The sequence below is a fragment of the Homo sapiens genome, chromosome 11 (assembly GCF_000001405.40).
Source record: "Homo sapiens chromosome 11, GRCh38.p14 Primary Assembly".
In the NCBI taxonomy this organism is placed as follows: Eukaryota; Metazoa; Chordata; class Mammalia; order Primates; family Hominidae; genus Homo; species Homo sapiens.
The window spans coordinates 73,006,587-73,033,957 of record NC_000011.10 but is presented as its reverse complement, the minus strand read 5'-3'; the positions used below and the strand labels follow the sequence as shown (position 1 = coordinate 73,033,957).

The 27,371-nt window shown below is 38.4% G+C and overlaps 1 protein-coding gene across 5 annotated transcripts in view; it reads left to right on the top strand.

Moving 5' to 3' along the window:
• The window catches only part of FCHSD2 (FCH and double SH3 domains 2), a 305,574-nt gene that overhangs the window by 108,361 nt on the left and 169,842 nt on the right, over nucleotides 1-27,371 (top strand). For 4 of the 5 annotated variants that reach the window (NM_014824.3, XM_011545409.2, XM_047427949.1 and 1 more), the window contains one exon: nucleotides 18,073-18,149. In NM_014824.3, coding sequence (NP_055639.2) covers nucleotides 18,073-18,149 — 77 coding nt within the window. Of the gene's footprint in view, nucleotides 1-17,352; nucleotides 17,435-18,072; nucleotides 18,150-27,371 lie in introns of all 5 variants that reach the window. The other variant, XM_011545410.3, reaches the window with a different exon arrangement.

The following is a 27,371-nucleotide window of genomic DNA, read 5'->3' as shown; positions in this document are numbered from 1 at the left end:
TAAAATTTCTTTAAAACAACATTATTGAATGTTTCTGTGTCATAAGCGTTGTTTACCATCATGTTTCAACTTCAAGTCACGTCATCAAATAGGTAAATACAGTATACTAGTTGTTAACTGGGATGTGGGAAAAAACCTACTTAACCTAGTTAGCTTGGTGTCTTATCCAAGAATACTCATAACTAATTCACAGCAAAGGCAGTACAGTACTCAAACTCAAGTGTTGACTTCAAAGTCCTGGTCTTTTTACTATTGCCAATAACCATAAATTATATAAATTTGTATAGAATTCCATAGTTTGAGTATTTAATTAACATAGTTTTATCCTGGTTTGGGAGTGTGGATATGCTTGTAGTTGCTTCATATCTTTTAATGTTAGAGGAATATTCTTGTGGAAGATGTCTTGTGTAGCGCCCTATAATTCCTCCATTTCTGTGCTACATCTAGTAGATCTAAAATGTGAGGGGTCAGAGTATGTTTATAAGCGGAGACCTTAGAGATTACCTGTTTCTGTCTCTTCTGTTCATAATTCTAAAATTCTTTGCACTAAAACTTGTCCCATTTACATCTCTTTGCCTCCATACTGTGCATATCATCTTTGGACAGGACTAGAGTGGTAGCCTCCTATGGGTCTCCCTGACTGTAGTCTAACTACTTTTTTTTTTTTTTTGAGTCGGAATCTCGCTCTGTTGCCCAGGCTGGAGTGCAGTGGCGCGATCTCAGCTCACTGCAACCTCCGCCTCCCGGGTTTATGCCATTCTCCTGCCTCAGCCTCCCGAGTAGCTGGAACTACAGGTGCCCGCCACCATGCCCAGCTAATTTTTTATATTTTTAGTAGAGACGGGGTTTCACCATGTTAGCCAGGATGGTCTCGATCTCCTGACCTCATGATCCGCATGCCTCAGCCCCCCAAAGTGCTGGGATTACAGGTGTGAGCCACCGCACCCGGCCAATCTAAGTACTCTTAATCCATGTTTCCCACACTGCAGCTAGAATGATTTTTAAATCACATTTTAGTCTGATAATGGCACTGCACTGCTCGCAAGCTTGATTTCCTGTTGTCTTAAGGTAGTCCAAACATAAATCCTTGTGTGATATAGCCCTTACTTATTCAGTCTCACCTTTAAGCCATTCTCCCTTTTACAAGCTCCATGCCAGCTTGTATGAAGTTTCTTGAAGGGGCTATGTTCCCACTTGCACCCCACCTCTCGTTACAGGCTCTTTTTTTTTAGATGTCAATTTTCATTTCCTTTGGGGAAGCCTTCCCTGACTCGATCTCTCTGCTTTATGTTCCCATATACTTTCCTGTTGTAATACCTACACCAAATGGTGACTTCTTGAGTTTTTCCTCTTTGTTGTGCTTTTTTTTTTTCAGTTAGGAAGGTAATAAACATTTGCTTTAAAAATACTGAGCAATTAAGTGATAGAAATAGGCCAAGCATGGTGGCTCACACCTGTAATCCTAGCACCTTGGGATGCCAAGTCGGGAGAATCACTTAAGGCCAGGAGTTTGAGACCAACCTTGGCAATAAAGTGAGACCCTGTCTCTATAAAAAAATTAAAAAAATTAACCAGGCAATGCACACCTGTAATATTAGTTTCTTGGGAAGCCGAGGTGGGAAGATCGCTTAAGCCCAGGTATTTGAGGCTGCAGTGAACAATGATTGTGCTGTTGTACTCCAGCCCGGGCAACAGAGTGAGACCCCATCTCTTAAAATAAAAAAACATTGAACAATCCAGTGGTATAAAGAATAAAAACTAAAAGCTCTTACTTTTGAACCTCATTTCCAAGTTCATATGTATTCTAGAGTATATATGCTTACATGTTTTTTAAATTAAAATAGGACCGTGCTATTCATTTTTCTGCAGCTTATATATTTTTATTAAATATTTGAGACTATATAGCACATTCTCTTTAATAATTGTGTAACATTGCAGCATACTGATGACCATAATTTAGTTAATAGTTCCTCTTGGTGGATATTAATTTTTTAAATTAATCCCTGGCAGAATATACATACCAGAAGAACATTGATAATACCCATAATGTTTATTGCTATTCCCCCAGCATCTAATACAGTGCCTTCCCTATAGAAAGCACTTAATAAAACTTGTTAAGCAATGCATATGCCTTTTCCAGGCGAAAAGGCTGCTGTGCCAGCTCTTACCTGATTTGTGTTGGTTACCTGTAATGTATCAGTTCATATCAATGGTGAGAAATAGAATAACGGGAGTGTGGACTGGCCTTGGAGTCAGAAGGCTTGGGTTGGATTCCTGGGTATAAGCAGTGTTGGTTAATATGGTCCTTTGTTGGTCAGATTCTAATAGGATACTTACTACATTCAGTTTAAGTGAAGATCGAACAACATAATGCATATACAAATACTTTGTAAGTGTAACACCCAGTACAAATGTTGGCATTACTGTCTCCCTCCCCGTTCCTGGTAACCACTGCTTTATTCTCTCTCTGTCTCTCTTTTTTTTTCGGAGACAGGGTCTTGTTCTGTCACCCAGGCTGGAGTGCAGTAGTCACAACTCAATGCAGCCTCCACCTCCCGCCCTCAAGTGATCCTCCCACCTCAGCCTCCCGAGTAGCTGGGACTACAGGCACACACCACCACACCAGGCTAATTTTTATAATTTTTGATAGAGACAGGGTTTCGTTATGTTGCCCAGGCTGGTCTCAAACTTGGCTCTAGCAATCCACCTGCCTCAGCCTCCTAAAGTGCTAGAATTACAGATGTGAGCCACCGTGCCCGGCCTTTATTCTCTATTTATTCAAGTTTTTTTATTTTTTTAGATTCCATATATAACAGATCAAATAGTAGTCGTCTTCTTTCTATCTGGCTTATTTCACTTAACATATTCTGGATGAACCCATCCAGATTCATACATGTTGTGACAAATAGCAGGATCTCCCTTTTTTTTAAGGCTGAATAGTATTTCTGGAGGTGTGCGTCAATGTGTGTGTGTATGTGTATGTGTATACTACAGTTTCTTAGGTCAAAGGATAAAAAATAGCAGAAATTCAGGACGCGCAAGTATAGAGATATAATGTGTATCATGAGGACTATAGTTAATAATATTGTATTCAGGATTTTTTGCTGAAAGAGTAGGCTTTAGGTGCTCTAGGCACACATACACAAAAAGGGATAACAATGTGAAATGATGGATATATTAAATTTGCTTGACTGTGGTAACCATTTCACTATCAATATGTATAGCAAAATTTCATGTTGTACGTCTTAAATATATACAGTATTTTTTAAATGTCAGTACTATTAATATATTTTTCTTTGTTGGTTTTGTGGATTGATTTGTAGCTCCAATGAGGTTTTTAAATAGATTAAAGTATTGACCACCACCATCTTTACAAAGTTAAGGTCATCAGGTAAGAGACCTTATACAATGCCCAGGAAGCCGTAACAGTATTCTTGAATGTTACTCTGTGTTTAGGGCTCTGGAGACATATACAATCCATCCCTATTGCCTTTCCTGGTTGGCGTAAAAACTATATACTCACTTGGATACATTTATGTATGGTAAATTGAGTTTTGTATATTCAGTTGTGAAAATATCTCCTTTTGTTTTTTTTATTTAGTATAATCTCTCTATTGCATCATCTCTTGAAGAACAAGACAGGAACTTTCTCTTATACATACTTCTAGAATCTATGCTAGTACCTAGCAGAAGTGCACATCTTCCGATAAGTGTCTTGACTTTTGGACAAGATACTGTGATTACCCACACACGCATACATATACATAGGAACTAAGCAATCAGTTGTGGGTTATGTGGGGTTGTGGGGGTACTGCTATCATGTAGCAGTTTTATAACTGTAGGCAAAAATATTTTCAAACTAATGGCATTCCCTTGGGTATTTCTTACCTATTTCTTTGTATGCTTTGTGATTTTTGTTGTTGTTGTTGTTGTTGTTAAAAACTGGCCATTTGAATCTAATAAGGTGGTGACTCTGGACATCAGATTCTCCCTCTTTCTGAGGTTTTGCTAGTTTGTTTTTGTTTTTGTTTTTCTTTTGTTTTTGATTAACATAAGTAGTCTCCATGCTGAGGATCAGCCTGAGATGTAAACTTAAGGTCTTCTCAGGAATTTTCTGAGCCTGTGCCTTTCTCTGTATATTGTGGTGACTTACTAATTTCTCTCAAATATGCAATTGCCCTTCAATGTCCTAATTTTCAATGTGTGGTTCTCAAAAGGTGGGAAAATGAAGACAGGGAAAAAGGACGCTGTCCCTTTAAGTTCCCCGGAAGTCACTTCAGCCTAAGGGGGAAGGGCTTGTAGCAATAGGGAAAGGGTGCTGCAATGACTTCCTACCTCTGTGTCTGCACCTCCACAATCATAAGCAGCAGTCAGTGATCATAGCACAAGATAGGGTCCCATTTGCCCATCCTGGCTCCCATAAGGAGCATAGGAGTTGTTCCAGGAACATATGCATGGCTGCCTGCCAATGGGCCAGGGATAAAGATGGGTAGCCACAGCTGAGCTAAGAGCTGAAATTGACCTAAATTAACTGTAATTTACTCTCCAAATCTTTCTCTGGGAGTTGCAAGTCCACAGTGGCTTCTAGAATTCTAAAATAATTGCATCAAACCGATCTTGCCGCAGTGTGATTGTTGTCTAGGTTGGGAGACAAGATTCCTGGTCCTTTCTGCTCTGCCTTATTCTCAGAATTTGCTCCTACAATAGTCTTGTAAGTGGTTTCCGTATCTTTTGTTTTCCCCCAAAGTTGTTTCCTACATAGCTGTGAAAATGACCTTTTAAAAATGCAAATTGATTTTTATCTCCTTATTTAAAAGGTTTTCAATGGCATTTTATCGTTTTTAGTGTACTACACCATTATATTTATGGTGCCCTTTCTGGTCTTCATAGTTTGTCTCTTGACTAACTTTCTACTTTCATTGCTGTATGTCATGCTTCCTGTGTTAGTCCGTTTTCACACTGCTATGAAGAACTACCTGAGACTGGGTAATTTATAAAGAAAAGAGGTTTCATGGACTCACAGTTTCACGTGGCTTGGGAGCCTTCAGGAAACTTATGGCAGAAGGCAAAGGGGAAGCAAGGCATCTCTTACATGGTGGCAGGAGAGACGGAGAGAACGAAAGGGGAAGTGCTAAACTTTTAAACCATCAGCTCTCATGAGAACTCACTATCATGAGACCAGCATGAGGAAAATCTGCCCTCATGATCCAATCTCCTCCCACCAGGTTTTTCCCCTGACACATGGGGATTACAATTCCAGTTGAGAATTGGGTGGGGACACAGAGCCAAACCATATCATTCCACCCCTGGCCCACCCAAATCTCATGTCCTTCTCACATTTCAAAACACAATCATGCCGTCTCAACAGTCCACCAAAGTCTTAACTCATGCCAACATTATCCCAAAAGTCCAAGGCCAAAGTCTCATCTGAGACAAGGAAGTCCCTTCTGCCTGTGAGCCTGTAAAATCAAAAGCAAGTTAGTTACTTCCAAGATACAATGGGGGTACAGGCATTTGATAAATGCTGCCATTCAAAATGGGGGAAATTGGCCAAAACAATGGGGCTACAGGCCCCATGCAAGTCTGAAACGTAACAGGGCAGTTATTAAATAGTAAAAGCTCCAAAATAATCTCCTTTGACTCCATGTCTCACATCCAGGGCACGCTGTTGCAAGATGTGGGCTCCCAAGGCCTTAAGCATCTCTGTCCTTGTGGCTCTGCAGGGTACAGCACCTGCAGCTACTTTCACAGGCTGCCATTGAGTGCCTGCGGCTTTTCCAGGTACATGGTGTGAGGTTTTCTGGGATCTGGAGGATGGTGGCTCTCTTCTCACCCCTCCAGTAGGCAGTGCCCCTGTGAGCATTCTGTGTGGGGGCTCCAACCCCACATTTCCCCTCTGTAGTGCCCTAGAAGAGGTTCTCCATGAGGGCTCTGCCCCTGCAGCAGACTTCTGCCTGGACATCCAGGTGTTTCCATACATTCTCTGAAATCTAGGCAGAGGTTTCCAAACATCAGTTCTTATCTTCTGCACAACTACAGGCCCAATACCATGTGGAAGCCACCAAGGTTTGGGGCTTGCACCCTCTGAAGCAACAGCTCGAGCTGTACCTTGGCCCCTTTTAGCCACGGCTGGAGCTGGAGCAGCTGGGGTGCAGGGCACCGTGTCCCAAGGCTGCACAGAGCAGCACAGCCCTGGTCCTGGGCTACAAAACCATTTTTCCTTCCTAGGCCTCCTGGGCCTGTGATGGCGGGGAGTGCAGCGAACATCTCTGAAATGCCCTGGAGACATTTTCTTCATTGTTTTGGCTATTAACATTTGGCTTCTTTTTACTCATGCAAATTTCTGCAGCCAGCTTGAATTTCTCTTCAGAAAATTGGTTTTTCTTTTCTACCTCATGGTCAGGCTGCAAATTTTTCAAACTTTTACACTCTACTTCCCTTTTAAACATAAGTTCCAATTTTAGACCATCTCTTTATGACTGGATATGACTGTATGCTTTCAGAAAAAGCCAGGTTACATTTTGAATGCTTTGCTGCTTAGAAATTTCTTCTGCCAGATACCCTAAATCATCTCTCTCAAGTTCAAAGTTCCAGAGATCTCTAGGGCAGGGGCAAAATGCTGCCAGTCTCTCTGTTAAAGCATAGCAAGAGTGACCTTTGCTCTAGTTCTCAATAAGTTCCTCTTCTCCCTCTGAGACCTACTCAGCCTGGATTTCATTGCCCATATCACTATCAGTGATCAATGGTTTTGGTCAAAACCATTCAACAGGTCTCTAGGAAGTTCCAAACTTTCCGACATCCTCCTCTCTTCTTCTGAGCCCTCCAAACTGTTCCAACCTCTGCCTGCTACCCAGTTCCAAGGTCACTTCCACATTTTCAGGTATTTTTATAGAAATACGCCATGTCTCTCGGTACCAATTTTCTGTATTACTCCATTTCCACACTGCTATAAAGAACTAGCTGAGACTGGGTAATTTATCAAGGAAGAGGTTTAATTGACTCACAGGTCTGCATGGTTGGGGAGCCTTCAGGAAACTTAAAATCATGGTAGAAGGCAAAGGGAAAGCAAGGCATGTCTTACATGGTCGCAGGAGAGAGAGCGAGCAAAGGGGGAAGTGCCAAACTTTTAAACCATTAGATCTCATGAGAACTCACTTGCTGTCATGAGAACAGCATGGGGAAATCTGCCCCTGTGATCCAATCACCTCCTAGCAGGTCCCTCCTCTGACACATGGGGATTACAATTCAAGATGAGATTTGGGTGGGGATACAGAGCCAAACCATATCACTTCCCTTAGACAGTTAACTCTCATTTGTCCTTCTGATCTTTAATCATATGTAGTTCTCAATTAAGTCTATTTGAATATACAAACCACCTCCCCCTATCTTTAAAGTTTTTTAGAGCACTGTATATCTGTTTTATATATTCTACATTATTTTTATACTCGGTTTCTTTTATTTTAAAATAAATTTTATTGCATATATTTAAGGTATATGATATGATGTTATAAGATATGATGTAAAATGGTCACTATAGTGGAACAAATTAGCATCCATTGTCTCAGTCAGTCATTTTGCTCCCAGTGGCAAGAGCAACTGTAATTATTCATTTAGCAAAATCCTGAATCCAGTATACTATGAACTATAGTCCTCATACAGAATATTTCATTTATCTGTATAGGCTGGGTACGGTGGCTTATGCCTGTAACCCTAGCACTTGGGAGCCCAAGGTAGGTGGACTGCTTGAGCCCAGGAATTTGAGACCATCCTGGTCAACATGGTGAAACCTCATCTGTATCAAAAACAAAATAAAAAAATGAGCTGGGTGCAGTGGCACACACCTGTAGTCCCAACTACTCTAGAGTCTGAGATGGGAGGATCAATTGAGCCTGGGAACAGAGTGAGACTCTATGTCAAAATACATACATACATACATACATACATACATACATACATACATACATAAAATGAATCTCTATAATTCTTTAGTCAAAACATGGAGCATATCTGTGTTTTTTAGTCAAAACGTGGAGCATATCAGTAGGTATATATACCACACATACCTACTGGTATATGTGGATGGTTACGGGAGACCAGAAGGATGTTACTGAGTTGGTACATCATACAGCATAACACATTAAGATTTGGTTTTTGACTGAAATACTATATAGCTTTAAAAAAATTCTTAGTCATAAGGATATACCAATTTAGAGATATAGTTTAGTCACAAGTATACAGATTATAATTCTACAAACTAATTCCAAGGAGATTTAAAAAATTTTTAAAATTCTATTTATTTAATTTTTAAACTTTTATTTTAAGTTCAGGGGTACAAGTGCAGGTTTGTTACATAGTTAAACTTGTGTCATCGGGGGTTGTGGTACAGATTATTGCATCACCCAGGTATTAAGCCTAGTACCCATTAGTTATTTTTTTCTCATTATCTCCCTCCTCCCACCCTCCACCCTCCAAAAGGCCTCAGTGCCTGTTGTTCCCCTCTATGTGTGCATGTGTTCTCATCATTTAGCTTCCACTTATAAGTGAGAATATGTGGTATTTGGTTTTCTTTTCCTGCATTCGTTTGCAAAGGATAATGGCCTCCAGCTCCATCCATGTTCCTGCAGAAGACATTATCTCATTCTTTCTTTGTGGCTGCATAGTACTCCATGGTATATATATACCACATTTTCTTTATCCAGTCTATCACTGATGGGCGTTTAGGTTGATTCCATGTCTTTTCTACTGTGAATAGTGTTGCAGTGAACATATGTGTGCATGTATCTTTATAATAGAATGATTTATATTCCTTTGGGTATGTACCCAGTAATGGGATTGATGGCTTGAATGGTATTTCTGTCTTTAGTTCTTTGAGGAATCATGACAGTCTTCCACAATGCCTGAGCTAATTTACACTTCCATAAACAGTGTATAAGCGTTCTTTTTCTCCACGACCTTGCCAACTTCTGTTATTTTTTGACTTTTTAATAATAGCCATTTGGACTGGTGTTAGATAGTATCTCATTGTGATTTTGATTTGCATTTTTCTAATGATCAGTGATATTGAGCTTTTTTTCATTTGATTGTTGGCTGCATGTATGTCTGTTTTTGAAAAGCGTCTGTTCATGTCCTTTGCCCATTTCTTAATGGGATTGTTGTTTTTTTCCCTGTAAACTTGTTTAATTTCCTTATAGATGCTGGATATTAGACCTTTGTGGGATGCGTAGTTTGCAGTATTTTCTCCCATTCGGTAGGGTGTCTGTTTACTCTGTTGATAGTTTCTTTTGATGTGCAGAAGCTCTTCAGTTTAATTAGATCCCATTTGTCAATGCTTGATTTTGTTGCAATTGCAACAAAATATATATTGAACTTGATGTCTGTGACTCTAATTTACCCCCATGTAATTCATTCTCATTTCCCCTTCTTATTTCTAAGTCCCACTCCAACACTGAGCTTTTACCCTCTGCCATCTGTTTACATGTTTGTTTAATCCCAGTATATGTGTACCACTTTTCAGAATTTTTTACCTGTGCCTAGTGAGAAACAACTTTATCAACTAGTGTACAATGTTTATATACAGTTTTTTGTCTTTAGTCGTACAGTTTCTAGCTAAAATACTTTTTTCCAGAGTTTCTTGAATCCATTTATAAACACATTATTTTACAGAATTATAAAATTTGCCCCTTCATTCCCCATACCCATTTATGAGGTTATGTCTCACATTTTGTAATACAATTGGATTTGTCACAGTCTGCATTCTATCTTCGGTTCCCCCAACCACTGGTAGATTTTTTTTAATTTACGTATATTAAGAGTCATTCTTTGTCTCTTGTCAAAGTTCTGTGGGTATTGTCAAAGTTCTTTGGGTTTTGACAAATGTATAGTGTTGCAGATCCACTACTACAATACTATGTATATTAGTTCACCACCCTTAAAATTCTTCCCCTAGCAAACACTTCCTTCTCCCCAAACCCCTCAAAATCACTGATCTGTTTTCTCTATCAATTGGTCTTTCCCAGAATGTCATATGAATGGAATAATACAGTGTGTAACCTTTTTAATTTGGCTTCTTTGACTTAACAAAATGCATTTTAAGATTCATCCAAGTTATGTGAATTAATAGTTTGTTTCTTTTAATTGCTAAGTACTATTCCATTATAATTATGTACCACAGTTTGTTTATCCATTCACCTACTGAAGGACATCTTTGTTGCCAAGTTTATCAATAAAGCTGCCAGAAGCATTTGTGCTCAGGTTTTTTTGTGAACCTAAGTTTTCAAATCAGTTGGCCAAATACCTAGAACATGATTGTGGAAGTCTCTGTTCATAAGAAATTTCAAAACTGTCTTTCAAAGTGGCCATACTATTTTGCATTCCCACCACCGTTGAAGGAGTACTCTGTAACTCTGCGTCCTCACTAGCATTTCTTGCTGTTAATTTTTTGGATTTAGCATTCTAATACATGTGTAGTGGTACCACATTATTTTAGTTTGCATTTCCGTAATGACAAGTGATGCTGAACTTCTTTTCATATGCTTGTTTGCCATTCTTATATCTTCTTTGATGAAGTATCTTTTCAGATCCTTTGCCCATTTTAAAAATGTGTTGATTTTTTTCTTACTGTTGAATTTTAGGAATTCTTTATATATTTGGACTTCCTTTATCAGATACATGATTTGCAAGTATTTTTTCCTAATCTGCAGCTTGTCTTTTTATTCTCTTTGTAGTGTCTTTTCCAGAAGAAAGAGTTTAATTCTGATAAGGTCCAATTTATCATTTTTCTTTCATGTGTCTTGGTTCTGGTGTTATATGTTAAAACTTTTCACCAAAGGTCAAGGAGATTTTCTTCTCTGTTCTTCTAAATGTTTCATAGTTTTATGCTTTATATTGAGGTGTATGAATCATTTTGAGCCAATTTTTGTGTAACTCGTGAGGTATGTGTCAAGGGTTTTTGTTGTTTTGTTGTTGTTTATGGTCATTCAATTGTTCTAGCATCACTTGTTGATTGAGACTATCCTGTCTCCATTGAATTGTCATTGCCCCTTTGTGAAAAATCAGTTTACTATATTTGTATGGGTCTATTTCTGGGATCTCTCTTTTGTTCCACTGATCTATCTGTCCATTCTTTTGCCAACATCATGCTATCTTGATTCCTGCAGCCTTCAAGGTATACCTTGAAGTCAGGTAATGAGAGTGCTCTGATTTTGTTCTTATTTTTCTGAATTTTGGCTATTCTAATACCTTTATCTTTCTGGACTATTGATTGAGATTGCCTTGAATGTATAGATCATATTGGGAACAAATAAGACCTTAACAATATGAAGTCCCAAGTCATTAACATGGAATGTCTCTCCATCCATTTAGATTCTTTTATTCTTTTCTTTCTTTCATTAGTATTATGGACTTTTCCACATACAGATCCTGCAAACATTTTGTGGGATTTATACCTAAGTACTTCATTTAATAAAATTTCAAATTCCAGTTGTTCATTGCATGTATGTAGGAGAGCAATTAACTTTGGAATATTGACGTTGTATTGTGCAACTTTGCTAAACTCAGTTATTAGTTCCATGAGGTTTTTTGGTAGATTCTTCAGGGTTTCTTACATAGACAATCATGTCATCTATGAATAAAGATAGCTTTATTTCTTCCTTTCCTATCTGTATGCCTTTTATTTCTTTTTCTTGCCTTATTGTACTAAGTAGGGCTTCCAGTACAATGTTGAAAAGAAGTGTAACAGAGAAAATCTTTGCCTTATCTCTATCTTAAGGGAAAAGCATTCACTCACCATTAAAAGTATGGTGTTAACTTTAGTTTTATGTGTGTCGTTTAGTTTTGGTTTTTATTTTTTGCTTTTTTTCTTTGTTGAGACACAGAATCACTCTGTTGCCCAGACTGGAGTGCAGTGGTGCAGTCATGGCTCACTGCAGCCTTGACATCCTGGGCTCAAGTGATCCTCCCATCTCATTCTCCTCTCCCTCTCCTGCCATACACAAAAGTAGCTAAGACCACAGGTGTGCACCACCAGGCCTGGAAAATTTTTTTTATTATTTACAGAGACAGGGGTCTCCTTGTGTTGCCTGGGCTCAAGTGATCCTCATGACTCCACCTCCCAAAGTGTTGGGATTACAGGTGTGAGCCACCACGCCCAGCCAGTTTTTTGTATATATCCGTTATTAGGTTAAGGACGTATTCTTCTGCATCTAGTTTTTTTAGAATTCTGTCATGAATGAGCTTTTTTTTTAAGTTTTATTTTAAATTTGGGTAACATGTACAGGTTTGTTACATAGGTAAACTCATGTCACAGGGGTTTGTTGTACAGATTATTTCGTTACCCAGGTATTAAGCCTAGTACCCATTAATTATTTTTCCTGATCCTCTCCTTCCTTCTAGCTTCCATCCTCCAAAAGGCCCCAGTGTCTGTTGTTCTCCTCTATGTGTTCATGTGTTCTCATCATTTAGCTCCCATTTATAAGTGAGAACATATATTATTTAGTTTTCTGTTCTTGCATTAGTTTGCTAAGGTTAATAGCCTCCAGCGCCATCCACGCCCCTGCAAAGGACATGATCTCATTGTTTTTTATGGCTGCATAGTATTCCATGGTGTATACATACCAAATTTTCTTTATCCACTTTACCATTGATGGCCATTTAGGTCGATTCCATGTCTTTGCTATTGCTAATGGGGCTGCAGTGAACGTATGTGTGCCTGTTTTTTTTTTTTTTTATTCTATGTTTGATCTTTAAATCAAATAGGATGGGTCATTTATAATGTCAGTAGATAGGCCAGACACAGTGGCCTGCACCTTTAATCCCAGCCCTTTGGGAGGCAGAGGTGGGAGCATTACTTGAGGCCAGGAGTTCAGATCAACCTGGGCAACATAGCGAGACCCCATCTCTACAAAAAATTTTAAAACTTAGCTGGTCGCAGTGGCATGCACCTGCAGTCCCAGCTACTCTGGAGGCTGAGAGGCAGGAGGATCACTTGAGCCCAGGAGTTCAAGACTTCAGTGAGCTATGATCATGCCACTGCCTTCCAGCCTGGGTGACAGAGCAAGGCCCTGTCTCAATGTAAATAAAATGTCAATAGATCTTATTTCTTATATATACTTAATTTAAATAAAATTAATCTTTATTTTTATAAATGGGAAAAGGCTAAAAGATACCTTTAGTTTTTAATATATAGAACATATTATTATATGAGATTAATATTTCATTTCGTCATGAAATTATGGAAAAGTAAATAAAGACAATTTATTATGTAATTTAAAATAATATACTGTTTTTTTAATCTTACATAATCATATACCACACAGAACAATGAAGAATATTTTAAAACTTTCCTTTAGGATGGGAGTGAAATTCTATATTACTTTTAAAGTGATTTAAGAATATAGTAAAGGTAATAATTGCATAATTTGCATTAGTTTAAGAAATATCCAGCTTATGCAGTGAACTTGTTCATTGTTAAAAGATCACTTGCATAATGCCGGGAATTTCATGACAAAATGGTATAGTATATAAAGAATATGGTTTCCAAAAATTTTAAAGAGCCATCTAATGGCAAACCCTTAGTAAAATTTAAATATTAGTTTCTCTGTATGCTGAGGGATGAAATGGATACAGAATTACCTGTGCTAGAGCCATAGAGCACCCTTCTACTCAGCTTGCTGTAATAAATTGGCCAAAGGTTAAGCCATCAGTCCATTTCCTAGTGTCTACTCAACAGTGGCTCTCTTTGTGTTTCTTCACTTGTTAAAGCAATACAGCAAGTGTTATTGAGAGGTAAAACAAAGCAAGCCTAACATCAGACACTGATGGCTTTTTAAAAGTTGGAATCGGATGTTATTGCATGTTTCAAAGAGTATATTGATAGTACATCTTTATGGAAGCCACTGCTCTAAAGTGAACTGAATTGCAAATCAAATCAGCATTATGCATCAGTGATGCTTAGGTAAATATAAATAAATATTATGTTTAGTGGACCAATTTTAGATAGTAGTGCTGTGGGCTTGGAGAATGATTTGAAAAAAATTTTTTTAAAAACTTTAAAAAATTGCAAGACATAGGTTTATTTTCCTTAGCAAATTAATTAGGCTGGATTTTGTTTTCTATGTAAGTAAACCTTTTATTCATCAAATGTAGCTTTAAATATAAAGTATAGAGGAAACCAGTTAATTTAAGCATAGAATGCTTTCAGAAATGTGCAATATTATTTAGGACCTTTACTGTAATAGCCCCAGAGTATGTCTGAGCATCCATGCAGATTAGATCTTGAACAGCTGCATGGAGTACACAGAAGTCATGATTCCTGCCTCTGTGAACTAACTTGAATAAAGTCTTTCATCTAAAGATCTCATTGTTTGTCTATTTCATGAATCCCTCATCTCATCTCTGAAGGGCTCATTCAGTTTAATACAGTTTAGCTTTGTGGTTTAGAGCTCTAGAAATTGCTATTGTAATTTATAATGCACAAAGTTAACAAATTAATTTCATAATTTAAAAAAATAGATAAAGTCCACTCTAAAATGATTTCTTTTACAAAGACATGGTAACTTTGGATTCTAGCTCACACCTAACTAGTTACGAACTGTATGATTTGAAGTAAAGTATTTATGCTTTTAATGTCCAATTTCTCTGTGGTGATAACAAAGCCTAACATAGAGTTAAGAGAAATAAACATGTGAAAGTGCTTAAGTTCATTTGTTCCTACATAAATTTAGAGTGCTGTCATTCTGCTTTCTGTCTTAATCCTGCTCATGAACTGAGGCTCATCTCATATTCTATGTTCTGTGTGATGTGTTCTGTAAACACTTTAACAGTGATTAAACTGAAAAAGTCACTATCATGTCATTTAGATGTGATTTGAGAAAATACCAGATGATCTTTTCCTCATTTGGGTACTTATATCACATTTTGCCACTTGTTTGGCAGTAACCCATATGTTGCCTGGCATATTATGTTGTATACTTGTTATTCTTCTCTACAGATAATGAGTTATTTGAATTCTGAGATCTTGACTTAATTGAACCCTCATAAAAATTAATGTGTAGTGCTTTCTAGGTATGGAATAAACTTCTATTATTTTTAAAAACTGCTTTGGAATACCCACACATATTTCTCTTAAAATAGTGAAGATGGTCAAATTTGACTGTAATTTTACCAAGGAATTTATTATATTAAAGCCACCTGGTCATAATCTCAGAAATCTGATACAGTTATTAAAAAATTTGAGTACATGAAAATTAGGAACCAGAGAAGTTTTTATTCAAAGACTTCTAACACAGAATGGCAAAAACATAAATGGAGATGGGCACTATACATTAGAAACAGAGTAATGTAGGTGGCATTTATCCATGCAATCAGTGGATCTTATCGGTATCAACTAAATTCTAGGTGATCTGCTATAGCCGGGGATATAATGATTAAAAAAAAAAAAAAAAGACAAGATCTGTACCTGATGGAGCTTATAGAGTAAACAGACAAATATTTAAACCAGACAGTAACAGTGTATGATGATTATGCATAAATAGAGTTATGTGAGAGGGCCAGAGGCGAAGATACTTTGCATACAGTGATTAGAAAAGGCGTTTTAGAAAAAGACACAAATAGTAAGACCCAAAGAATGAGAACTTGCCTAGATTGTGGTCTCTGGTTTCTCCCTGAAAACAATCAGGATTCCTTGGAGAACTAGCTTATTTCAAGTCTGGGCCAGGAACTGTAAAACAACAATAACAGCAACAACAACAACAAAGATGCATTCAGAGTCTATTTGGGATCATGATATGGGAGCCAACTTGGAGGGGCTCTGACAGACCACAGATGTGACAATTTGAGCATCAGAAGAAAGCAACTTTAATTAATTGGAATGCATCTATTATTTAAAATACATGAGTTCATAATGTTACTTTAAAAATTCATTGTTCATCTTTGGACCCAAATATTGGACATTCAAATATTTATCCTGTCTTTCCTCCAAGAACTGTATCTCAATATAACCAGATAGTTCATGAGGGATAATTCTTTATAGAATTATAGCTAATAAATATAGAAAGAATAGCTATTATACTTTAATGAAATGAAAATAAGTACCTAGGCAATGACGCTTTTCACATTTTCCTATATATATTTGTGATTGTTTACGTTAGGAAATTTAAGTATCAGATTAAAAGGGAGGGGTGAGAATTTAGCAAGTAGGAATAGGAGTGGTTAGAAGATATTTTCATGCAATGGGAGCATTATGAACAAGGTGCAGAGGTGAAAAACTACCGTACATATTTAGGGAAGACTTAGTATTTGGAGCTCCCAAAGTACAAGATATGTTAAGTGGAACTGTTACGGATATGTAGTTCTATACAAGTTCTCAGAATACACAATACTTAGAAATAGTGAAACCAAATTGTTGCCAAGTTCGGGAGGAACTTGAGATTGAAGCTAATTTGACAGCAGACCTTAATAGAAAGGTACCATGTAGAGTGTAGTGTTGATTTTACTTGAGTAATTTTTGCCTCAAGCAGGTAGTTGATTAATAGATGTGATTGTTCTTCATTTCAGCATTGTGTTCTTTTTAGTTACGTGTATAGAAATAAGTATCTCAATGTTAATGATTTCTATAACCATTACATTAGGCCCTGTTATAGTGTTAGGGGACCACATATATTCCTATCCAAAAGTAATACGTTGGCCAGGTTTGGTGACTCATACTTGTAATCCCAGAACTTTGGGAGGACAAGGGAGGTGGCTTGCTTGAGCCCAGGAGTTGAGCCATGGGCAACATGGCGAAACACTGTGTCTACTAAAAATACAAAAAGTTAGCTGGGCTCAGTGGCATGTGCCTGTAGTCCCAGGTACTTGGGAGGCTGAGTTGGGAGGATTGTTTGAGCCCAGGAAGTTGAGGCTGCATTGAGCCATGATCGCGCCACTGCACTCCAGCCTGGGCATTGGAATGAGGCCTTGTCTCAAACAAACAAACGAACGAAAACAAACAAGCAAAAAAACAAACATAATACATTGTATAATTGGAATGAGCAGTTTAAAATCAATTCTTAACAAAATGGTCTTCTCAATTCAAATCCCTGTACCTCTCCCTGACACCTGTTATAGATAAACATTCTGTTTTATCCAGATTTGTGTTGTGTAGATAATAGTAAGTGGGCAAATTTCTTTGTAAAACAGTTTATTTTGTTGTTTGAAGTGACTTGTGTCATGGTATCATTTAAAAAGAAAAGACCCTTAAAATCTGTCTTGAGAATTAATAATATGGAACAGCACCAAAATTTGTTCATTAATTTTACATGCCAGTATATATCTGTCTACTTCAAATTGAATTTGTTTTTCTCTTTCCTGGTATTTGAGAGTTTGGCTGCCGAGATTTAGAAAGCTGTGTGATCAGAGTTCTATGGAGATGGACAGCTGTGTTCCCTGTGACATGCCAGAGGTGGTTTGTTTTTATGGCTAGTCAAATAGTTAAAAGTGAAAGGCATATCAATGAAGTTTCAACTTTCTTATCCTTATACTCACCCTTTTCCTAAAAATGGAGACAAGAGAGGACTGGACAATAATGAAAAAAGGTTGTAGTGTTCTACCATTTATCATTGTTTTTTGTTTGTTTGGTTGGTTGGTTGGTTGGTTAATTGGGTTTTGTTTTTTTTTTTTTTTGAGACAGAGCCTCACTCTGTCACCCAGGCTGGAGTGCTGAGGCCCAGTCTCGGCTCACTGCAGCCTCCGCCTCCTGGATTCAAGTGATTCTCCTGCCTCAGCCTCCCAAGTAGCTGGGACTACAGGCGCATGCTACCACACCCGGCTAATTTTTGTATTTTTGGTAGAGATAGATTTTCACCATGTTGGCCAAGCTGGTCTCAAACTCCTGACCTCAAGTGATCTGTCTACCTTGGCCTCCCAAAGTGCCAGGATTATAGGTGTAAGCCACCACGTGCAGCCTATCATTGTTTTTTTTCACTTCTGAATTAAATTTACATTTGGAAAAATGAGATTTTCTAAGTCATGTATTTTAAGGAAAAGAGCTTCCTTTATGGCATAATATTTATTTTAGAAAAAATATGTATTTTTTAACAGGGTATGCAGAAGTTGGCTAGTCAATACCTGAAGAGAGATTGGCCTGGAGTAAAAGCTGATGATCGGAATGATTACAGGTAAATTAGTAGTTTTTGCCTATTTTCTTTAGAAACGGTTTTACTTAAAGCTATGTTACATATAGATAATGTAACACTCTAGTTTTTAAAAGAATTACTTCTTTCCTCTGCTGTGTTTTCGGATATAATTTCAAAATTATCAAAATTTTAATGTTTTATAACATTAAATAATCTAAAATAGATTGTAATCTATATAAAATAGATCATTTTCATGTCTTATATAAGCCAAGATTATATTTTATATAATTAATTATACCCCCAATTGAAACTTAAAGAAGGCAGGTGACAATGGAACACAAATTGCTGAGTGACCTATGATGAAACACATTATTGTGACGGTGATGAAACAAGATTGTATATGTTCTGCCATCTTCACTGATACTTTTGAAATAAATTCTAAATATGGAAAGATGGGGTTTTTGTGAGACTAGGGGGGAAACTTTCTAATGTATTGTAAGGAAAGGAGCTTCTTTTTAGCATAATACTTATTTTAGAAAAATATATGTGTTTGTATTTTTGAATATAAACAAAAGATTTAGACGTGGCTAGTTAATATCCCACATACGAATTGTAATGAAGGTGGATGAGAATGGAATACAGATTGTGTCCTCAGTGACCTACTGATATCTTAAAAGTATATGTTTGTTTAGAATTTGGTTTCTTTTGGCCAGGGGCAGTGGCTTACGCCTGTAATCCCAGCACTTGGGGAGGCCAAGGCAGGTGGATCACCTGAGATCAGGAGTTCAAGACCAGCCTGACCAACATGGTGAAACCCTGTCTCTACTAAAAATATAAAAATTAGCCAGGTGTGGTGGCGGGCACCTGTAATCGCAGCTACTTAGGAGGCTGAGGCAGGAGGATTGCTTGAACCTGGGAGGCAGAGGTTGCATTGAGCCGAAATCATGTCACTGCACTCCAGCCTGGGCGACAGAGTGAGACTCCAGCTCAAAAAAAAAAAGAATTTGATTTCTTTTTTGAGGTCAATTTGGAAGTATTTATTATCTTTTACGCTCAGGAGTTGTCCTTTGTGTTGAAGGACCCAGAAGTCAGTGACCTCAGAGCTTGCAGTCTGGTTAGGATTATGACCAAATACCCTTCAAACAATAGCAGAGAATCCAGGGTAATTGAGAACTTAGTATTGAAGCGCATGGTTTAGAGTCTGAATACGAAATCAAGCTGTTGAATTGTCAGTGATGATTGACATCAGATGATTTCTTAAGAATGTGGCAATGAAGCTAGAAAACTGAAGGATATATGATAAGAAGCCCTAATAATTCTTCACAGTGGCCTACTGATATCATGGAAGGTGTCTTGAGAGCAATAAATAATAGAACAGTATGATTGCAATAGAGCATATTAAAGCAAAACAGGAAATAAAAATATTAATAGATTTTCTTCATGCCTGTAATCCTAGCACTTTGGGAGGCCGAGGTGGAAGGATCACTTGAGGCAAGTAGTTCAAGACTAGACTGGGCAGTATAGTGATACTCCATCTCTACAAAAAAATACATTAGCTGGGTGTGGTGGTACGTGCATGTAGTCCCAGCTACTCAGGAGGCTAAGGCAGGACGATCGCTTGAGCCCAGGAGTTGAAGGCTGCAGTGAGCTATGAATGCACCACTACCCTCCAGCCTGGGTGACAGAGTGAGACTCTGTCTCCCAAAAAAAAAAAAAAAAAAAAAAAGAAACCACACAGATTTTCTTAAGGATTTTCTGTATCTGCAAAATTCAGCTAAGGAGGAAGAGAGGAGAGATGAAATTCTAGGCAAGAGAGGCAAGTAGAACAAAACCTTGAGGTGACAGTGAGCATGGGATGTTCAGTGTTGCTGGTATAAGGAAATCAGCCTAAGAAGAAGATTGCTTGCAGTAAAGAAGGATCCAACTTATAGATAGTTAGGCTGGGCATGGTGGCTCATGCCTGCAATCCCAGTGCTTTAGGAGGCTAAGATGGGAGGATTGCTTGAGGCCAGGAGTTATATTCCAAGTTTATTTAAAATTCAGGATTCAGGTTACCAAAGAAATAAGGATTAAAAAGCTATGCTCCTAGGCTAGCTTATAAACCCTAATTTAAAAAAGTATTGCAAGCCAAGATATACAAAATATTTACTATGTGGCAGACACTGTGCTAAGAACTCATTTCCCATGATTATCAGAACAGCTCTGTGAGGTAGATATAATAATTCTCATTTTATACTATAGGAAACCAGGTCTCAGGTTATATGTCTTACTCAAGGTCAGATAGCTATTTAAACACACATTTATTCTTTCTTTCTTATTCATAGGATACATATGAAATACCTACTACATGTCAGCGGTTAAAGTAGACCTTAGGATTAGAGAGGCTAGAAGATATGTTGTCTGTCCTTTGTAAGCATACAGGAGATAGCCACTATAAATAGTTGCAGAATTGGGTAGTAGGAGAGGGGCACTGGAGCCATAGAAGAAAACCTGGGCTTGTAGAGCCAGGTCTTAAAGAATGTGCAGGAGTTTTCCAGGCAGACAGTTTGGTAAAAGAAATTCTAAGTGAAAATAACCCCTTCCAGGCATGGAGCATGAGAAAATGTGACTGTTAGGTAACAGTTCAGTAGGGTTGCTGTGAAGTATGTGGGTTAGAGGTTAACTGGAGTGGTGGAGATTAAGGATACATCATAGGTAGGCATCATAAAAGGACTTTACATATCACAGTATAGAGTTTGCTTTTTTATTCAGAACGTAATGGAGGTGTTGAAATGTTTCCATGAGAGGAATCATATTATCATCTTTACTTTAATGATAGTGTAAAGGTGGATTCGAGGGGTGTGAGGAAGACTTCAGAAAGGATAGAATGGCAGGAATTTAATTCCTCATCATCTCATATTTGAACCAAGGAAATTGTAGCAGAAATCAAGTTGTAGGGAAGATTTCAGAGATATTTAGAAGACTTAAGCCAGAGGACTTGCAAATGATTTGGCAGAGTTTTGTTTTTTGTGTTTGTCAAATTTGTTCTGAGACAAATTACATATATAAACAGTTTTCTTCATATTTAAAATAGCTCTTGCAACATTGAAAGCACTTGATAAATATTTACTGACTGAATGAATGAAGCAGGGGGAGAGAGATGAAGAATTATACAATGACTCCCAGGTGTTTTCATTTAGGCAACTGAGAGGATGGTGGTGCTATTGTGAAAAAGACAATAGAAAGATCAGGATTGAGGCTGAGAACAATTGCCAGTGTTTTTGTTTATTTGGAGCTTATTTTAGTTTTGTTATTTAAAATTTTCCATTTAACTTTTTCGTATTTATATTTGCATTGGTAGTTTTAAATTCTTATCCAAGTAATACATGTTTTTTATCAAGTAGGTAAACAGTACAGGAGTATAAAGAATATCATTTCCCAAGCATCTTCCATTCACATTTCTGCTCCCCTAGGGTAATTGCTATTACAAGTGTGTGGTCTTTTCTTTCACATTTTTTTCTGTGTGATTCACACATGGGCATACATAGTTTTGTTGTTTCTAACAGAACTGCAATTATTATATACATGCAGTCTGTAACACCCTTGCTCCCCGCCCACACACTTAAGGAGTCTATTTTAGAAATCCCTTCATGTCAGTATGTTCTGGTCCCTCATTCTTTTTAATGCCTGCTTTAGTGCCATAGTATTGATGAACTATACTTTTGTTATCCACATCCCTATTTGTAGTTATTTAGTTTATTAGTATTTCAAATAATGCAGTGAATAAGTTCTGTATGAACATAAGTATATTTTTGTACACTGAAAGTGTATCTGTAGGGTAAATTCTTAGAGGGAGAAATGCTGGATCAAAGGGTTTATATATTTAAAATGTTGATATTGGAGGGAGGGTCTTCAAGGTGGCTGACTAGGGGCACTTCGTACCTCCTCCACTAAGAAGAACCAAACTAGTGAGTGAATAATCACATGTTGACTAGATCATCCAAGAGAACACTGGAATTCAACAGAAAAGTGACAGGAAATACCTAAAGTTAAAAAGGAAAGGGAAACAAGGTAGCCTGTTCAGGTGGGATTAGTCAGGAGCCAAGAGAGACCCCCATTGGTCCACATTCCCACTGTAGACTTCTGTAGTGCTGGCCATGGAAGAGCCCTTCAACCTTCCTGGGCCTTGAAACTAAGATAGGGAGCTGCCAGGAGATTGTGTGATGGCACTACACCAAGAAGGGAGCTCATGCTGGGTCCCACACACGCTCTGAGAACTAAGCAACTGCAGCAAGGCACTATTTTAGAGCCCTGCCCCCAACAGACTGTGCACTGTCCTGGGGTCCAGCATCACTAGGGCTAAACCACAAGAGAAGTGTGAGCTGCTGCCCTTGGGGCCAAGCTGTGGGTTAACACTGTTAGGTTAGCAGTGTAAGTGCTGCTGGGGAGCGAGTGGTGCTGGGGCAAGTATTCCCCACCTGCTAGCCTAGGTGGTGCACATGTTCCCCACCTGCTAGCCTAGGCTTCCAGCTCAGAAGGTAGCCCTCCCTTTTCCAGTGGCAGGGCAGCAGTGCAGCCACTACTGCCTCCCACCTGAGCATTCTGCCAGTGGCCTAGGGATCAGCCTGCCCCTGCCTACCATGGCTGGCACCTGCACATATTGTTGAGAGCCTGAGGGCAAGCCACCCCAGCCTGACTTCATATCCCTACTCCATGCCAGAGCACACAGGCTAGGGTCCAGGAGATTGCCCAGCACATTCTACCACCATTGGCACCTGAATACTCCTCTAGGGGGCCTGAGGTTGGTTCTACCCACCCCTGCCACTACAATCACAGCTGACACCTACCTGCACATGGCACCTGCAGGCTTGGAGACTGAGCTGCCCACCCCCTCACAGCCACCACCAACACCAGCATACACTGCTCAAGACCCAGAAGATTATCCCATCACTGCCACTGCTGTTTTATGCCAGCTGCCCAGAGGCCCAAGAATCTGCCCACCCACCCAGCTCACTGCTGCCACTACCAGCATCTGAGTAAGCCACCTGAAGGCCAAGAATTGGCCCACCTGGACTACTAGTGCCAACTCACCACTGCCTCTACTGGGGCTCAAAGACTGGCCTACCTGGTGCCCCAGTCCTCAGCAAAACTTTACCACAGGCCCCACTAATAACTGCACCTGAAACCACTGAATAAATTACAAACACCACTGACACTGTTCATAGCCAAAGAAATCGTACAGATACCGTACCACTGCAAGCACCCAGAATCAAGGCCAAAGGGCCCTACCAAACAACACCATAGATCTATCTTCAGGAAAACATTCCCTACAGAAGCAAATTCAAAAAACTGGAAGAAGTGACTATCACATCAGATGTGCAGTTATCAATGTAGGAAACATGAAAAAGCAAGGAAATATAACTCCAAAGGAATAACATAATTCTCTAGTAACAGATCCCAATAAAAAACAAATTTACAAAATCCTGGAAAAAGAATTCAAAATGTTGATATTAAAGAAGCTCAATGAGATACAAGAAAATTCTGAAAAACAGTACAGAGAAATCAGAAAAACAATTCAGGATATGAATGAGAAATTTACCAAAGAGAGATATAAAAAAGAACCAAACAGAAATTCTGTAATGGAAGAATTCATTGAATGAAATACAAAATACATTTGAAAGCTTCAACAATAGACTAGATCAAGCAAAAGAGAAGATCTCAAAACTTGAAGACAGGTCCTATGAAATAACCCAAGCAGTCAAAAAGAAGAAAAATAAGAAAGAATTAACAAAGCCTTTGTGATATATGGGACAACATAAAGTGACCAAATACACATATTATTGGTTTCCCAGATGGCAAAGAGGGAAGGGAAGGTTAGAAAAATCTATTTGATGAAATAATAGACAAAAACTTCCCAAGTCTAACGAGATTTAGACATCCAGATACTGGAGGCTCTGAGACCCCCCCAGGCAGATGAAATGCAAAAAGGCATTCTCCATGGTACATTATAGTCAAACTATCTAACATCAAAGACAAAGAGAGAATTCAAAAAACAGCAAGAAAAAAAGCATGCAGTAACCTGTCAAGGAACTGCTATGAGACTACTAGCAGATTTCTCAGCAGAAACCTTTACAGGCCAAGAGAGAATGGTATGATATATTCAAAGTACTGAAAGAAAAAAAAAACTACCAACCAAGGGTACTGTATTCAGCAAAATTATCCTTCATAAATGAAGGAGAAGTAAATTCTTTCCCAGACAAGCAAAAGGTTAGGGAATTCATCACTACTAGACTGGCCCTAAAATATTAATATTGGAAGTTGTTCCCCATAAACTGTATAAATATATTTAATTTTTTCTAGTATGACTTTGTTTTTTGAGACACTTCTCACTCCATCACCCAGGCTGGAGTGTGGTGGCATGATCTTGGCTCACTGCAACCTCCACCTCCCAGGTTCAAGTGATTCTCATGCCTCAGCCTCCCGAGCAACTGGGATTACAGGTGTACGCCACCACACCTGGCTAATTTTTGTATTTTTAGTAGAGATGGAGTTTCACCATGTTGGCCAGGCTGGTCTCAAACTCTTTGATCTCAAGTGATCAGCCCACCTCAGCCTCCCAAACTGCTGGGATTACAGGCGTGAGCCACCACACCCAGCCTGTAGTATGATTTTAAATTGTCCCTTTGTTTTTATTTTTTACCAACAGTGCATGTAATCAGTCTTTTAAATTGTTTGCCTATCTGATGATACATGCAGCATTTAATGTCATTAAAACCTCAATTTGCATTAGACTTTTGTAACACTACTTTCTCTTGGACCTTTTTTTTTTTTAAATTTGAGAACAGGTTTTCATTCCTTTCTATGTAAATGCTTCTCAAAAATCCCTCAGCTCTCTAATGACTTTTAAGTAAGCTTATTTATATTCTTGTCTTTAAATCTTGACTATGAACTGGTAATAATAATATATTTTTATTAACTTTTCAACTTGGGAAACAAAAAGCTGCCTCTAATTTTACCTTCTTTGTAGATCTCTTCATATCTGAAATGTTAAGTAGCTGCTTGTTTGCATGTGATTTCTTTCACAATTCCATCTGCTATAATGACACAAACTATATCTTTATATCTTTGTAAAACAGGCCTACTGTCACTCCCCTGCTTGAAAATCTTCTATTGTTTTTCCTTGCCGATGGGATAAATTTAAATTTCTTTTCATGATATTCAAAACCATGAAGAAACCTGGCACCAAATTATCTCTCTACTTACCTCTGGCCATTTCTGCTTTCATCCTTGGTTTTCCAACCTTTGGGCACCTCAGTTGCAGTTGTGTTTCAGTTCTTATCAACACCTCCACTGGACTGAAAGCAGTCTTTTTCCTTGTCTTTATTTCTGTTACCCAGGCTTAGGATATTCTCCCTTTCTACTACCAATAACAACCATGTATGAACATTTATTAAAACACCATTCTTCTTGTTACTAGTTATTATATAAATTATTCTTAGGTTATGAACTTAATCACATTTTCTTTTCTTTGTTTTGAGACAGTCTCGGTCTGTCGCCCAGGCTGGAGTGCAGTGGTACAGTCTTGGCCCACTGCAATGTCTGCCTCCTGGGTTCAAGCAATTCTTGTGCCTCAGCCTCCTGAGTAGCTGGGATTACAGGTGTGCATCACCATGCCCTGCTAATTTTTGTATTTTTAGTAGAGATGGGGTTTTACTATGTTGGCCAGGCTGGTCGCAAACTCCTGGCCTCAAGTGATCTGCCTGCCTCAGCCTCTCAAAGTGCTACAGGCGTGAGGCACTGCAGCCAGCCCTTAATCACATTGTCCTGAGTTGTCTTGAGATGTGATGCCAGTAGAAAGGTGTATTTCTAAGCCTAGGGAAGACCTGTGGTTTTGTTTGTTATATCTTAAACACTTTTTACTTTGAGATAATTGTAGCCACACATAGTCGTCAGAAATAATAAATACAAAGAGTGCTCTTACATTCCCCACCCAGTTCTCCCAGTGGTAATATCTTGCATAACTGTAGTACAATATCACAACCAAGAAATTGATACTGATACAGTCATCCAACTTAATTCAGAATTCGTTAGTTTTATACACATTCATTTGTGTGTATGTGTGTGCATATTGAGTTCTGTGCAGTTTTACCACATTTGTAGCTTTGTGTGACCTCTTCCACACTTAAGATCTTGTTAAGAATTTCTTGATTTCTTTCTTTTCTTTTCCTTTCTCTTTTTCCCCCCTTTTTTCTTTCTTCTTTCCTTTCTTTCAAAACAGGGTCTCACTTTTGCACCCAAGCTGGAGTGAAGTGGCTCACTGTAGCCTCAAACTCTTGGATCCAAGTGATCCTTCCACATCACCTCCTGCATAGCCACCACTACCACCATGCTTGGCTAATTTTAAAATTTTTTTTGTAGAGATGAGGTTTTGTTATATTGCCCAGGCTGATCTCAAACTCCTGGCCTCAAGCAATCCTTCTGCCTCAGCCTCCCAAAATGCTGGGATTACATGCGTGAGCCACTGTGCCCAGCCTTGATTTATTTCTTAATGAGAAATTTCTTCTGGTAAAGTTTTCTAGGTTTTCCTAGATATCTTATATGATATTCATAAAAGAAATCGTTCACAGCATGAACTTAGGTGGTATATGGATGAATGGTTTTGTATTTTACTAGTTATAACCTAATTATTATGGCAAGTATTTTTCAGTTAGAATAGTGATATAAAATCGTAAGATACATATATTTTAGTTTAAAAGGTTAGTCCTTTTAACAAAAATGATAAGAAAATAATGGTACAGAAGATAGGAGACAAAAATAGTAGATGATGTGTACAAAGGACTTAGGATACATAAGTCTTGGTATAAACTATATCAGAATGAAGAGGCCCTTTTTAATGTTCAGCATTGTTACTGAGACTAAGAACAATCTTGTGTCAGCAAAAGACAGAGGTTTGGGAGCCAGACACATTTGGTTTCAAATCTAGGCTCCATCATTCCTTCCTCTCCTCCTCCAGTAAATATGTATTGAGTGCCTGCTATGCCATACCCTGTGCCGAACATACAACAGTGAATGAAACAGAGCTTCTGCTGCATGGAGCCTACATTCTAATGAGGGAAGACAAACAGTAAACAAGTGAATAATTAAACATATATGCCAATTGGCGGTAAGAGCAGTAAGCATAGTAGGGAGAATACAGAGGGCCAAGAAGTGATTGCGCAGCAATTGCTGTAATGTGCAGAGCACAGGTGTTGGGGGACAAGGCAGAAGCAGAGAGGGCAGGTAGGA